The sequence below is a fragment of the Homo sapiens genome, chromosome 18 (genome assembly GCF_000001405.40).
Source record: "Homo sapiens chromosome 18, GRCh38.p14 Primary Assembly".
NCBI classification, from domain to species: Eukaryota; Metazoa; Chordata; class Mammalia; order Primates; family Hominidae; genus Homo; species Homo sapiens.
In genome coordinates this window covers 6,208,472-6,223,278 of record NC_000018.10, presented here as the reverse complement: position 1 = coordinate 6,223,278, position 14,807 = coordinate 6,208,472, and the positions used below count along the sequence as shown (strand labels likewise).

General features: G+C 36.9%; 1 protein-coding gene across 31 annotated transcripts in view, besides 1 other annotated feature; it reads left to right on the top strand.

Moving 5' to 3' along the window:
* Window positions 1-14,807, top strand: part of L3MBTL4 (L3MBTL histone methyl-lysine binding protein 4) — a 460,543-nt gene that overhangs the window by 191,981 nt on the left and 253,755 nt on the right. For all 31 annotated transcript variants that reach the window (NR_158610.2, NR_158609.2, NR_158611.2 and 28 more), the window contains 2 exons: window positions 7,444-7,529; window positions 10,020-10,130. Coding sequence is in view for 25 of the 31 variants with exons in the window: in NM_001365765.2 (NP_001352694.1) it covers window positions 7,444-7,529; window positions 10,020-10,130 (197 nt within the window). In the remaining 6 variants the exon portion in view is untranslated. The remainder of the gene's footprint in view (window positions 1-7,443; window positions 7,530-10,019; window positions 10,131-14,807) is intronic.
* Window positions 4,017-4,066: an enhancer, noted in NCBI's record as "active region_13059". NCBI's record gives its function as "activates an Ori minimal core promoter by ATAC-STARR-seq in GM12878 lymphoblastoid cells {active_cell/tissue: GM12878}" and the evidence as "EXISTENCE:reporter gene assay evidence [ECO:0000049][PMID:35858748]".

Sequence of the window (14,807 nt, the reverse complement as noted above, 5' to 3'; positions counted from 1 at the left end):
AGTATGTGTTTATTTCCGCATTTTTAAACTGGAAATTGAGCATTCAAACCTGTTGGCTGAATGAACATTTATTATTAGGGAATAAAGCTATAATAATTGGTATTTTGGGAGGTAATGAAATGTACTTTGTAGAAATAACACAGTTGGTTTTTTTAGATTCTCTAGAATCACCAATTGGCTGGACCTACTTAGTAGATATTCTAGATGTTTCATGAACACATAGAAATATTTAGCTTTGCAAATTAATATTTTGATACCCAATGACCACTTTACCTCATAATTTCCTTGCAAAGCTTATATTATATTATATTATATTATATTATATTATAATAGAAAAATTTACAGTCCAAAGAAATCCTTCCTTTAGTTGCAACCTTAGCCATTAACTTTTTTTTAGCCAAACAAAAGATTACTGTATTTTAAATGGAACTGTGCTAGTTTCTATAGATAGATTCTGTTGGCATAAGGAAGGTAAGAGTTCAGAGGATAATATAAATTATTAATTAATGAATTGAACGATATGAATTGAGTGCCTACCAAATGTGAGGCACAGCTAGGAGCTGAGGATGTAATAAAGAACAATAAAGATATAACGTGAGGATTGCTAGGTCTGTAATAGAGTGTCACTCAGTGGAATATGATACGGTTAGAGAAACTAAGAGAAAAACAACCCTAGCTTTTTATTTTAAAATCTTAAGTATTGAGAGACAGAGAGAAATAGAACTCATTACTCTGTCTCAAATGCCTGCCAAAACATTGGGTTAGATTAGATCCCGCATGAGCCATGGTATTGAAGACAGTTCTGCTGGGCGCTCAGCCAGTGCAACACAGATAGGTTGTTTTCTGGTGATCTCGCCAGACACAAAAGAGAGTTTATTTCTTTACATAGTGTATTCTGGATATAGTACAGCTCAGCCATACTTTGAGCAAAACAATCAATTATAAAATGAGCTCTTTGACAAGCTCCTGAGGTGCTGATATTTCATACTGTAGATCAAAGAATTCTCCCTATGCTTTAGAAACTAATTAATGATCAAGTAAAAAATCTGACGTACTGCTGTAAATGTTAGAGAGTCTAACTTATGTTCTTTTGCCAGAAAGATATTTTAACTTTAATTGTTATGAGCTGAATATGAATGTAAGACTTCTAATATCTAAGGCACCGTAAATGTGAGGTCATTTTCAACATGTGTTTTGAAACAATAAAGGGTGAACCTGAATTAGGCTTGGCCACGATTGAAGCATCTGATTTTCTTCAAATCTTGTATTTCTGAGTCATGTACTGAACAGCATGCCACTATTTCATACAAGACAATTAGTGACCACTTGGTCCTATGATTGTTTCCATGAAGGGCCCTTCTGTATGTGCAGAACCTACTAGCAGAATGACAGCTTTCAGGTAGTGTAACTTTCCTCAATCTCTATCATTGGAGGCCCGGATATTTGGATGACTCACTGCCCTGCCTTGTGAGAGACACTTGAAACAAATGAATAAGTGGCCTCTGAGGGGCTTTCTTATATAATTCAGGTTCTTAAAATGATAGTGAAAGCTAGCCAGGGCCGCACTGGTACTAGTCACATAATCCTAATTATTCTATTGATGCTTTCTCTGAGACTTCAGGCCCAGCAGCCTAGAGCACTCAGTAAACCTCAAAGTAGCTCTTTAGAAGTTTTGATTTCTACAAATTGCAAGTCAGGAGACACAGGCTCTAGCTTTGACTTCGTTGTTAGTTGCCTTGCCTTGTATGAGTCACTTAAAATGCCAGGTCTCACTTTCCTCATCAGTAGAATTGAGTTTGATGAAGTGTCCATCCAGCATGTGTGTTCATGCTGAACATTCTGTCTATTGTGATAGACCCTTGGCAGATCCAATAGACAGATAGATTTGTCTATTGTGATAGACCCTTGGCAGATCCCTTTTATTGCTGCTTATTAAATAGGACTATTGGCCATTACTTAAAACCTGCTTGTCATACAGCAATGATTTTGTTTCCTGAATTGGCCACCAGTATAATTGTGGTTGTTCTGCTTCTCTAGTTCCTAAGGGACAGGTCACCCAGACTAGTCAGGAACTTAAGGACTTGTGCTATTGATTCATGAGCTCAATTCTTTAGAAAGAATGTTCCAGTGGAAAAAATAGGTTGCTGCTTAGGCTGTTGTTCCTAGAGGAAAAATAATCGAGGGTGCCTTTAAAAAAAAATCTGAAACCAGTATTACACCTTCTTACATGGCCTTCTAATATGGAAAAAAAAACTGAGGAGTATTACATTTGCATTGTATAGATGCCACAGATCAGACGGCTTTTTCTTGGCATCATCCAGTTTACAGTGCTGTTGGAACATTAGCCAGTATTGACACACCAGCACCATTTTGTTCAAATGGTACCTCTGATGCCACCAGTACCAGCAGGCAAAAAACTTTGTATCAGAGTTTCATTCAGAATTTTGGGGCTAGACTGGTATCATTTTGGCTTGTATCTCTATCATTCTTGGCCACCAAAATGTAAAATGTAAATGTTTCAGGAAATATATTTTATTCATTCAACAAATATTTACCAAATACTTACTGAATACCAGCTGTATGTTGTGAGGAAATAACAGTGAAGTGAACATATTCCTATCATAAGGCAGCCTATGTTCTAATGGAGCAAGAGAAATGAAATATTCACAACACACACTGTGTTAGGTGTCAATAAGTGCTGTGGAGAAGAATAAGGCAAGTAATGGGGTTAGGAAGGGCACATACATTTGGGAGGGGGGCTCCCTATTATATAGAGAGTCAGGGTGGGACTGAGCGAGAAGGTGACAGTTGAGTGGCATTTGAGATAAGGTGACAAGTCTGGAGGATATCTACAGATAACTCTCCAGGTAAAGGAACAACAAGTACAAGAACTTGAAGAGGGAGGATGTCTGCAGTGTTCTAGTTACAGCAGGAGTGTAGTGAACAGGAGATGAGGTCAGAGCGGTAGTGGGGCCAAGTTCTGTAGGGCCCTGTAGGTCATGGTAAGCACTTGCTTTTCCCCTGTGTAATCGAGGAAGCCATTGGAATGACATGGTAGAGAAGGTTTTAACTTATATTTACCATTGTTTAACCCTTACATGTTTCCTTTTTTGCTTCCATATTTGCATCCTCCAGAAGGGCTTTTTCTTGACCCTGAATGCGTTCCACTCCAGGTTCTGGAAGTAATCTCCCTAGATCTCAGTTTCTTCTTTTTATTTTTATTTTTTAAATTGTGTTTTAAAATAGAGGTGAGGTCTCGTTATGTTCCTAGGCTGGTCTTGAACTCAGCGGCTCAAGTGATCCTCCCACTCCAGCTTCCTGAGTAGCTGGGACTACAGGTGTGTGCCGCCATGTCCAGCTGATCCCAGCTTTTTCACACAGGGCCTCCTCCTTTGTCCCTCTCGAGGCCACCACTTCCCTGCAGCCTGTAAAGGAGACGGCTTATTTTGCCACATCCCAAGTAGTTCTCCTCGTCTTCTAAAACAGTTCTCAGCTGTTTGGAAAATCCCCTTCTTCCTGAGCGTTCAGGCTGTTCTGCTTCACTCCATCTCACCCCTAATTTTGCCACCATCCAGATGATTTTTAATTATTCTTCATCATTAACTGAAGATATTTGTCACCCAGATCTACCGTTTTACCGGAAGAATTGCTGGCACCATGAGGAAATCCAGGGCTGAGTGGCCGACGCCCTAGCTCAGTACTTCCTTGATCCTAATTTCTGTGACACTTTTTCCACGCTTTGGTTCAGCCACCCATGCCCACAGCCACAGCTTGGACCTAAAGAATGAGGTCCAAGCTGTGGCTGTGGGCATGGGTGGCTGAACCAAAGCATGCAAGTTTTTAACTCAAAATGGCATGGAATGAGGTGGGACATGAATAAATAATTTAAACAATATAGCCCAGTCTCCAGTCCAGCAGTTTACAGTCCCGCCCTCTCGCTGTCGCAGTTCTATGCCTTGGCCTCCAGAGGGAGCTCAGCATCTCAGTCCTGAGGCCTGAAAGGGGCTGCCTTGGATCATGGATGCGCTGGGTTTTCAGTCTCAGCAGGACGAAGTGATAAGTATGAGGTTGATGGAGCCACGCGTCATTGTTCAGATACCATTTCTTCCACTTTCTAACTGTATAGCACTTGGCAGGCTGCTCAAGGCTCAAGTTCTCACCTAAAAAATGTAGATAAAAGTGTACCTCACAGGGATAGATGAGGAATAACTGACTTCATGTAAGTGAGTACAGTGCTTACCTATAAATGGAAGCCAGTTAGAGGTGGGTTTTCATTGAGAGGGGTGAAGAGGTTAAAGGCTGTTCTTGTTCCATGGGGCGGTCTCCTGTATTTCATTCTTGTCTCAAGTAGGAATTTAAATCGTTGGAAAGCTTCTTCCACGGTATTGCTGCACTGCTGTGTGCATGGACCTGGCCCCTCCCACTCCCCCTGCAGCCCTACTTCTTGCTTCCCAAGGTCTACCAGGACTCAGGGCTGGGGTCGGAAGGAAGAAAGTTGGAGTACGTGGCTTTTGCAACTCTCCCTGGGCCATATGACATTCTTCTCTCTTTGGGTTCATTGAACAGGGAATATACAGGTACAATATTTTCCCTTTTTTGCATGTACATAGCTCATTTCTGAGAGTGGCATAGACGCAATTGCTGCTTAAGAGCCATTTAAAACGGTCACAGCCTTTAATTTTCACCTGTTTTTCACAAAAAGGGGAAGAAGGATAGTGACTCTCACAGTAGCATGCCAAGTCTCTTTACCAGGCTGGGACAGGACCAGGTACTGTCTCTCTTACTTACCTCACATCCAGTCCTTAGTCCCCTACACTCAGGTTTCCTTTCGCTCTATCCAACCATATGTACTGGTCAGGTGCCTGGGTGAAGAAGCCCAGCATGGAAGGGGCCAGGTGTGGGCATGGTTCAAAATCTACACAGAAATGTGGAGATCCAAAATGTGATAAATGGATTTGGATGATTTTAAAAAGTATCAGCTATAAAAGTAAATGCAGAGTTGGGTGTGGTATCATGTGCCTGTAGTCCCAGCTACTCAGAAGGCGGAGGTGAGAGAACAACATGAGCCCAGGAGTTTGAGGCTGCAGTCCTCTATGACTGTGTCAGAAGAGCCACCGCATTCCAGCCCGGGCAGCCTAGAGAAACCTCATCTCTTGAAAAAGAAAAAGTAAATGCAACTGCAGAAATACTTATTGAAACATAAAATATATAGTATAACTCATAAAGGAAAGGATAGAAAGCAAAGGAAACCTCAAGAGAGCTTAAAAAAAATTCAGCTTAAAACATGTTTACAGAAATTAGATTAAAAAACTAGTGGTGAAAACAAATGTAAATTAATTTAAAAGTCCATTTAGAAAGTGATTAAAATAGATATGTCTGGAACAAAATAATATAAAAGTAAAAACGATGGGTAAAATATTATCAGCAAACACAAACAGAAAATAATAGGGTGGCAATATAATTTTTAGTAAAAATAATTTGAGACAAAATACATAAATGTATCCAAAAGGGAAAGGGAAATTTTCTCTATATCAAGAATAAATAGAAAGCACAACTCATGCCAAACATTTTATGTACAGAATGATGTAACATCAAAATATGAAGCAAAGTACTCCATGATCTAGCAGTGTTACTCCTGGATGCATTCCAACATAAATGTATACTTCTTATCACTAAAAAGAATATACCAGAATGTTCATAGCAGCATTTTTAATAATAGCTCCCAAATGGAAACCACCCAAATGACCACAATCAGTAGAATAGATAGATAAATTGTGAAATACTCACATAATGGAATATTATACAACAATGAAAATGAATGTTCTGAAGGCAATAATCCACCTGACCCTCACATTCGGAATGCAGAGCAAAAGATGTTCACCACAAAGGAGCACATGCTGTGTGATTGCATTTACGTAAAGGGAAAAACAGAAGAAAACAAATCTCTGTGGTTGGAAGCGAGGGTAGGGATTTCTCTTTGAGGAGGGTGGTATGGTGCCTAGAAGGGACGATGATGGGGAGGGGATCCTGGAGCTCTGGAAATGTCCTGGTTTAGATCTGTGTCTGGTTATGCTGGTATGCTAGTTTTTTGAAAAATGTTCAGTCTATCCACTTGATTTGTGTACTTTCCTTTAAATATATTTTTATTAAAAAGCATAAAAATGAAGGAAAAATGATCAGAAATATGGGGGAATTGTAAAAAAATACTTATTTTAGAGAATTGAGCATATTGCTTCAGACTTTCTGCTTAAAGGACAGATTTTTGCATAATATAGCTAGATTGTATTACTGAAAATGCTAACATACTTTAAAATACATATATACTCTGTTTTTTAAAAATTGTTGACTCTATTTTATACTAAAAAGAAATCCTCAAACCTCAAAAGCAGGAATTCTATATGTCACATGACATTCTGAAACTATTATGTAGTAAACTAGATATTAGTGTTACTATTTTAAACAAATATGAAAATTACTTGGAGTATCTCAAATAAATATTTAAGGATTAAATCAAGACAACACAGATTACAATTATAATTGGTTTCTAGAAAATAAAAAGTGAGAAGAATACATATTTTTAAAAAATGTGTCCAGCTGTCTAAACCTGAATTTAGTGGCAACAATGGCAGGTTCATTGTCTATTTCATTTTAAATGAAAATAAGTTATGTTTATAATTCAATTTGACAAAACAAATATAAAATAAACTGAAGAGATGTAGGAGGGAGGAAGTAATAAGAGTAAAAGCAGTAAACAATATAATTAGAAAAGAAAAAAGAAGAAAAAATAGAGCTGATGAATAAATCTAAATACTTATTGCGTGGAAAGATAAATAAAACTATACTATATAGATCTCTAGCAAATTTAATTAGGAATGAAAGAACACAAACATAAAGAGAAACAAGAAGGAAATTTGAAATAGAGTTCTTTATATCATGTTCAATATATAGTTTTAACTGCAATTTTAGGAAATTGTAATTACAAAGATTTAATAATGAGACTAAAGCTTTAATAGATATAGAATGATTAGAGAAATTTGAAAGATTTTCAGAGTCTTTTTTTTCCAATTCATGGTATGAGGTCAGATGGTTGCTTGTAAGTGTTTTCAAACTGCTAAGGAGCCTTCTGTTGGAGCTTGGGAGTCAGAAACCTGGGTCTCACCTGGCTCTGTGAAGTACTCACATGGCCTTTGACCTTGGCCAACTCACTTAACCTTGTTGAGTGAATGAGAGTACCATGGAGTAAGTGCTTGAGTGCAGGCATGCCTTTGCCTTCTCAGAGGTTATGGTTAAGTGAATTAATATATCTGAAGTTCTTAGCATCAGGTCTGTTTAATGGTGAGCATTCAATTAACATTAGGTGTCATATCATCCAACGTTTTGTAGTATACGGGAATCAGAATATCTATGAGTAATCTTTTGCTATTTATATATATATATTTTCAGGTTATCCCAATCCAGAAAATTTTTCCTGGACAGAATACCTGGAAGCTACTCAAACCAATGCAGTTCCTGCCAAAGTTTTTAAAATGGTAAGTTCTATGTGGGTACAAACTCTCACCTTTAAACAACGTTTGTATTGAGTCATGCCTACATTTGGCAGTTTAAAATTATTCTAGTTTTTTCTTTCTAAATTCAAGTAGTAATTTCATAACCAATATGCTTTTCTTTTAGTTAAAAATACAAAGTAGGTGACTCATCTGCTATTGTTCCCATATAGAAATGTAGATGATGGTTTCCTTCCTTGAAAAATGGCAAATCAGAGGTACAATTGAAAACACCTCATCAACTGCTGATGATCCATTCCTTACATTTCTGGTTCTATTAGTCTGCTGAGTGAGAACTCTGAATTTTCACAGTACCACTCTCTCAGGGACTGTTTGACTGTCCATGATGCCATAACAAAATTGTTGAATGCATAGCCTTTGTGTGGATAATGTTATATATTTTGAGGTAAACCTTTCTTTCAGCATTTGTTAGAATACTGATTTTTAAATTTGTACTTATATATTTATTCCAGGATTGAACTAAGTATAAATTAATTTCTAAAATAAAGTACATAGGTAGTACAGTTAAAGATATTTATATCCTAAACCTAAACCAGCGGTTTTCAAACTCTATTCCCTTTCAGTTCTCTGTGTGTTTCATGTTCCCCAACTTGTCTTTAATCAGAATTTTATATATTGGGCTTCTGCATATAATTTCATTTACTGAAAATTGTCTAGAGATCAAGAGCGGCTTGAAACAAAATGATATTTCATTTTTTGAAAAAATTGATTATAATTAACAGTATTTGGGGGGAAATGTCCATATAATAAAATCAGGAAAGTAGAAGTGTTGGAGTACTAGGAAGGGTTTAAAAAGAGCAAAGGTTCAGCAAGCAAAAATGCTTATTGTACTTGACTTTTCCAAGAGGAAAATGACAAGAAAATAAAATTCTGAAAAGTAGCTAAGAAGGCAACTTCCAAGCTCTGTCCTGGGTTATTGTGGATTCAGCTCAGGGATGTACCTTAGGCGTGTACAATACTAAACTCTTCTACCTCTGTTGTTCAGGACAGTGATGTTGGGGAGAACAGAAAGATTCTCCGGGATGAAAGACCTAATTACAGTCAGTATACTCCATTTAGTAGATGTGATAATGCATCTTACAAAGAAAATGTGTTTCTACAAAAGCTGGAGAGAAACACACCAGATATTGCAGAAAGATTTGACTGTTTATTACTGACATATTAGTTGGGTTTTATTTTCCTTTTGCCATTTCTGAACTTGAAAAATTCAAAACACTTTTGTTTCCAATAAAACCAATTGAACACTTTTATGTGTAATAGCTTTCAAAGTGAAACTTTTTGCCAACCTATAGAAACTATCAGAGTTGCTTTTGATTTTGATTTTTGAGAGTTGAATTTCCTTAGTTTCTGTGATTTGGTTAAGTCCAGTGTCTTTTTTCTTACTCCGTGATTATGAATCCCTGTGTGTCTGTGGTTATAGACTCTTGGTTCCTAGCAAGATCACCTCAGGTGATCTGCCCACCTCGGCCTCCCAAAGTGCTGGGATTACAGGCATGAGCCTGTGGTTTCTTCCTTTCAAGTGAAAGAAACCATAACACAGATCACCTGTCTCTTGTTACAGATGAAATGACAAAAGCATAGGCTATGGCTTTAAAGTACATCATAGTATGCTTTTAAAACAGTTTAACAGCTGAAATTACACAGCTTTTATCTAAGCATATTTTAGATTTATAAAGGATCGTGTTTCTCCTTTCTGAGTTTTTATTAAAGAATTTTGCCTTCTGTGCCATACAGTTTGAAACTGGGCAATGAGAATAGTCAATAGTTTCTGAAATTATAAGGTCAATATCAGAAAGAAGGAAAAAAACTAAACTAATATAGGAACTGTAATAAGATGCTTTTTGAACTTTAGTGTAATCATTAACAAATTTATGATATAATCTGTCTTTGTCTTTTTAGTTATCTTTAAAATGGCCAAAAAATTATTTTTTCTCTCACAGGTTTTTGTGAATCGGATGAAATAATATGCATACAGTCCTATGTGCTCTTAAAACTAAGTTCTGGCTGGGCATGATGGCTCACGCCTGTAATCCCAGCACTTTGGGATGCCGAGGTGGGCAGATCACCTGAGGTCAAGGGTTCAAGACCAGCCTGGCCAACATGGTGAAACCCTGTCTCTACTTATAACACAAAATTAGCTGGGCATGGTGGTGCATGCCTGTAATCCCAGCTACTTGGGAGGCTGAGGCAGGAGAATCGCTTGAACCCGGAAGGTGGAGGTTGCAGTGAGCTGAGATCGTACCATTGCACTCCAGCCTGGGCAACAAGAGTGAAACTCCATCTCAAAAAACAAACAAAAACAAAAACAAAAAAGCAAAACAAAAAACACTAAATTCCAGTTGTATTGAAGATCTGCATATTAAAACTAAAACAGTAGTATTTTAGAAAAAATTAGTAGGATATCTGAATTACTGAATTTTGCATGATTTGTTGTACTTATAATAACATTTACAGAGGTTGCCTCATGGTTTTCTGCCAAATATGAAACTTGAAGTTGTGGATAAACGGAACCCCAGGTTAATTCGTGTTGCTACGATTGTAGATGTTGATGACCAAAGAGTAAAGGTACATATTTTAAATTATTATGTTATTATATCAATATTTTTCCTACATTACTTTTGTTTCCTCTACCCTCCCATTCTCTGAACCTTTCTCGTTTTTTAATTCATCTGCACAATAATTTTCTGGGGGGAAAAGCGTTCTGGATTTGACCTTGAAGATTGACCCTGGCCAAGATGGGACTAGAGGATCCCTAAAAAAGGAGAGTGTATAACTCACACCTTAAACTGGCCACAGAGGCTCTGATTCTTTTGGTGCAGCAGAAGAATAAAACTGCCCCTGGCTTAATTTCTAGTCACATGTCTTTGGATGGAGTGATTCCCAGCTTATGTGTATGTGCAGGGGGAAATCTGTAGATGAGACATGACTGACTTTGAGAGATATTCTAATACTTTTCTGTTTGGATTTGCTGTTTTGACTTTTACTGTCAGTTCTTTTTATTAAGCTTCTTTTTATTGGCATTATTCTATTTCGCTTGAAATCATTGTTATTAAACAGCTTACCAAGAACAATTAAAACTTTGTTTCCTGCTTTTCTTTGTCAAATAAAAAAATTAAAAACACTTTATTCACTGTGGCTAAAAACAAAAGGTTAGATTTTGAATTAAAGATTTGATTAAAAGATTTCTATACTGTATTTTTCTCAGAGAGCTGAAAGCATCTGTAGAATTTATTAAATTTTCTACAACATATTACAGCTCAAAAGTTATTTTCCATGCAAGTATAGTTTCTTTTCATAATAATAAAGATTGAAGTCAACTAATTTTAATAGGCACTAACTTAAAAGATAGATTTAGGTTCGATATAATTTAAAAGAAATCTTATTTGCCGTATCCCTAATTTGAAAATAATATCTGATTCAATTTATAGAGAATAGTCAGTACATACATTTTAGTAAAATTTAGAGATGAGTGTCCAGCTTGGCAATAGATTATCAAAAGAATGTACACTGGCAATGTCCATTATTCTTCTGATGAATGAAAACAAAAACTATGTTAAATAATATTCAGGAATAACATAGGTATTTTACCATATACCTTCTTATTAATGTTTTAAGTTTAATTTTAAACATATTGCTTTAACTCTTATTTATTTCTGGAATTTTACTGTTTACTCTTATGGCATTTTCAATGGAAATGACTTTTGCATATCATAATTGCTTTGTTAATTCAGTGACATTTTATTATTAACTTTCATTTTAAAAGTAGGCCGGGCACAGTGGTTCACGCCTGCAATCCCAGCATTTTGGGAGGCTGAGGCGGGCGTATCACCTGAGGTCAGGAGTTTGAGACCAGCCTGGCCAACATAGTGAAACTCCATCTCTACTAAAAATACAAAAATTAGCTGGGTGTGGTGTCACGTGCCTGTAATCCCAGCTACTTGGGAGACTGAGGCAGAAGAATCGCTTGAGCCTGGGAGGCAGAGGTTGCAGTGAGCCGAGATCATGCCACTGCACTCCAGCCTGGGCGACAGAGCTGGACTCTGTCTCAAAAAAAAAAAAAAAAGTATTTCATTTCTAAGATAAGCTCAGTCATAATAGCACATCAAATCTGACTTAGATTTTTAGTTGACAGACTGTTTTCTTATTATTCATAAGATATTTACTGTAGCATCGATTGATCATTTGTTGCCAGTTTATGAGCAAGCAATTGAAGTTTTTCTTCTCTCAGCTTTGCCCAGTACATTCCTCTATTCTTCAATTAACGTGTTGATCATATTGTTCATATTGTTCTGTTATTCTCTAATTTTCTTTTTAAAGTCAGTATTTTTCAAAGGAAATCTTTATCCCAGCACATAATAGATGCTTACTGTATGCATGAGTGAATTAAGGAGGGTGTGGAGGAGTGAATGGCACTGAATGTACCTTGGCACTCTGACTGTTGTCTGAATATGTAGAAATAATTGTGTTGGTCAACAGGCACTCTTCTCTTATTTTCAAATATTTTCATAATTACTCTTCTCTTGGACATCTGGAGTAATAATTATTGGAAAATGCCCTCGGACAAGACTGATCTGGGTTCAAATTCCAGCACTGACTTATTTGACTGTGTGGTAACTTGGTGAAGTTACTCAACATATTTGAACTTTCCTTATCTGTAAAGTGATGGCGTCAACAATACCTGCCTCACAGGCTTGTTGTGAAAATTCAATGAGGTCATGTATGGAAAATTCCTGAAACTCTACCTGGCTCTTTATATTATAGGTACTTCAGCAGTAGCTGCTGCTGTAATTAGTTGATACAAGTACCCTGTGCTGCCCTCCCTGGGTGTATTTATTTTCTGTATTAATGAAGGGACCTCAAGGAAGCAATTGTCATCAGTAGATGGACAAAGAACAAGCCTACACTCCTTGGTTCAAAAAGCAGGAAGTTTGATTGGAATTACATGGGGAATGTTAACAGGAACAGATGTTACTGTGCTGCATGCCTGTGTTTGTGAGAGCAGAGTCAGCCTGTTCTAACAATGAGAACTACATTTTCAACAATGCCTATGGTGGTCATGGCACTTAGTCTTTGTCACACACTGTTCTAAGGGCTTTACATGAGTTAACATATCTTCCTGCAACCATGTGAAATAAGGTACTGTTGTTATACCCGTTATGTAGATGAAGAAACTGAAACCACAGAGATTAAGTAATTGGTCCAAGGTCACAAGATAGTATATATGGGAACAGGGTTTTAAACCCCAGCTTCCAAACAGATGTTTTCAACTCTAGAGCTTATAGCATTCCTACTCTTCCTACTCTGTGTTCTAATTTTTATCCTAAATAACTCACTTCCTAGTGGGAGAGCAGATGTGTAGGATGAGGAGTTGTGACTGCCCATGACCCCACTCACTTTGTCGCTTGTGCCCAAGCCCACATTGTCTGTCCTACCTGGAGGGTCCTGTGTGGTACTGGCAGTTCTTGACAGAGCGCAGCAGATCCACTAAAGACAACTTCATTTCCTTCTGCCACTCCCCAAATATGTAGTTGGCCTTATGTATTTTATTAGTTCTATTTTTATTATACCTTTTTTGAGATACAATTCACGTACCTTAAAATTCAGTGGTCTTGAGTATATTCACAAAGTTGTGCAACCATCACCACTAAATTTAAACATTTTCATCACCCTAGAAAGCAACCTTGTACCCATTAGCAGCCACCTCATTCTACCCTCCTTCTACCCAACCAAGCCCCTGGTAGTCACTAATCTACTTTCCATAGTGTCTATGGATTTGTCTAGTCTGGGCAATTAATATAAACAGAATCCTATAATATGTGATCTTTTGATTGGCTTCTTTCACCTGGCATAATGTTTTCAAGGTTCATCCATACTGTAGTAAATATCAGTACTTCATTCCTTTTTATTTCTGAATAATAGCCATTGTATGGATATACCACATTTTATTTATCTCCTTATCAGTTGATGGACATTTGGGTTGTTTATTTTGGGCTATTTTGATTATTGCTGGGATAAACATTTACATATGTTTTTGTGTGGACGTATGTTTTCATTTCTTTTGGATATATAACTACGAGTGGAATTGCTGGGTCATATGATAACTCTATATTTCAGATTTTGAGGAAAAGCCAAAATGTTTTCTGAAGTGGCTGCACTGTTTTACTTTCCCATTAGCGGTATATGAGGACTCCAATTTCTCCACATCTTCACTGCCACCTGTTATTGTCTGGTTTTTGTTTTGTTTTGTTTTGGCTTTTTTTTTTTTTTTGCCAGTTTAGTGGGCCTTATGGGCTTCGGGTCTAAAGAAATCAGGATTATCATTATTTATATGTGCTCAGTAATAATATCCCGGCTAAGAGAATTGGGATGAAATACCTTGCCCAGTGTTTGTAATAGTAGAAGTAGTAACAGTAGTGGATGTAGCAGTGCAAGTATCAGAAGTAATAGAAGTAGTAATAGTAGAGTGGACACTTAGCAAGTATGTTATATATCACATTTTTGGCTTCACATCAACTCTTTTAGGTAGATGTTATTTTTGCTGTGCAGTTGGGATGGAGAACTTAAGTAATTTGATGAAGATTTCAAAGATATCCATGTTTCTATTCAGAAGCCAGTATTCTCTATGTTTTCGCAATTGCCCTGTAGCTGTGATAAGCCATTGGAATTGGAGATCATACATGGTCAGTGCTGGGGGATAGGACCATGAGCAGCCTCATCCAAGATCCTCTACTCGCTCACCCTCATAAATCCACTTAAACTAGTCAGGTCAGATTTTCTGATTTTTATACTGAAAATATTCATTTGGTGATATGTGGTTCATTGGCAGTTGAGTGGTGAAGTTTTTCATGCCATGGCAGGGTTTTAAGATGCTAGGTTTATTAATTATGATGGTTGCTCTCTAATAAGCGTTTATGATGTACTCAGTGTATCTTGTTCAATTTATAGCCAGCTATTATGTTTAATAATTATTCTTTTGTTTGGTTGTACAGTGTGTGCTGTTATATCTGAAAGCCCATTACTGTTGCCTTATCAGAAAATGCACATTAAATTACAGTAGATGGGTGGATGCTTTTAGGAAGTTTAGCCATTATTTGTGGGAAAAAGTATTCTACAAATAAAGATAAAGGAAGGACTTAAAACAGAGTAACATTTGATAAATATTTGCCCTGTGGGAAATGCAGCTAAGCTGTGAAATGAATTATAAATGAATTTCAAATAGATGCTTTAATAAGTTCTACTGAA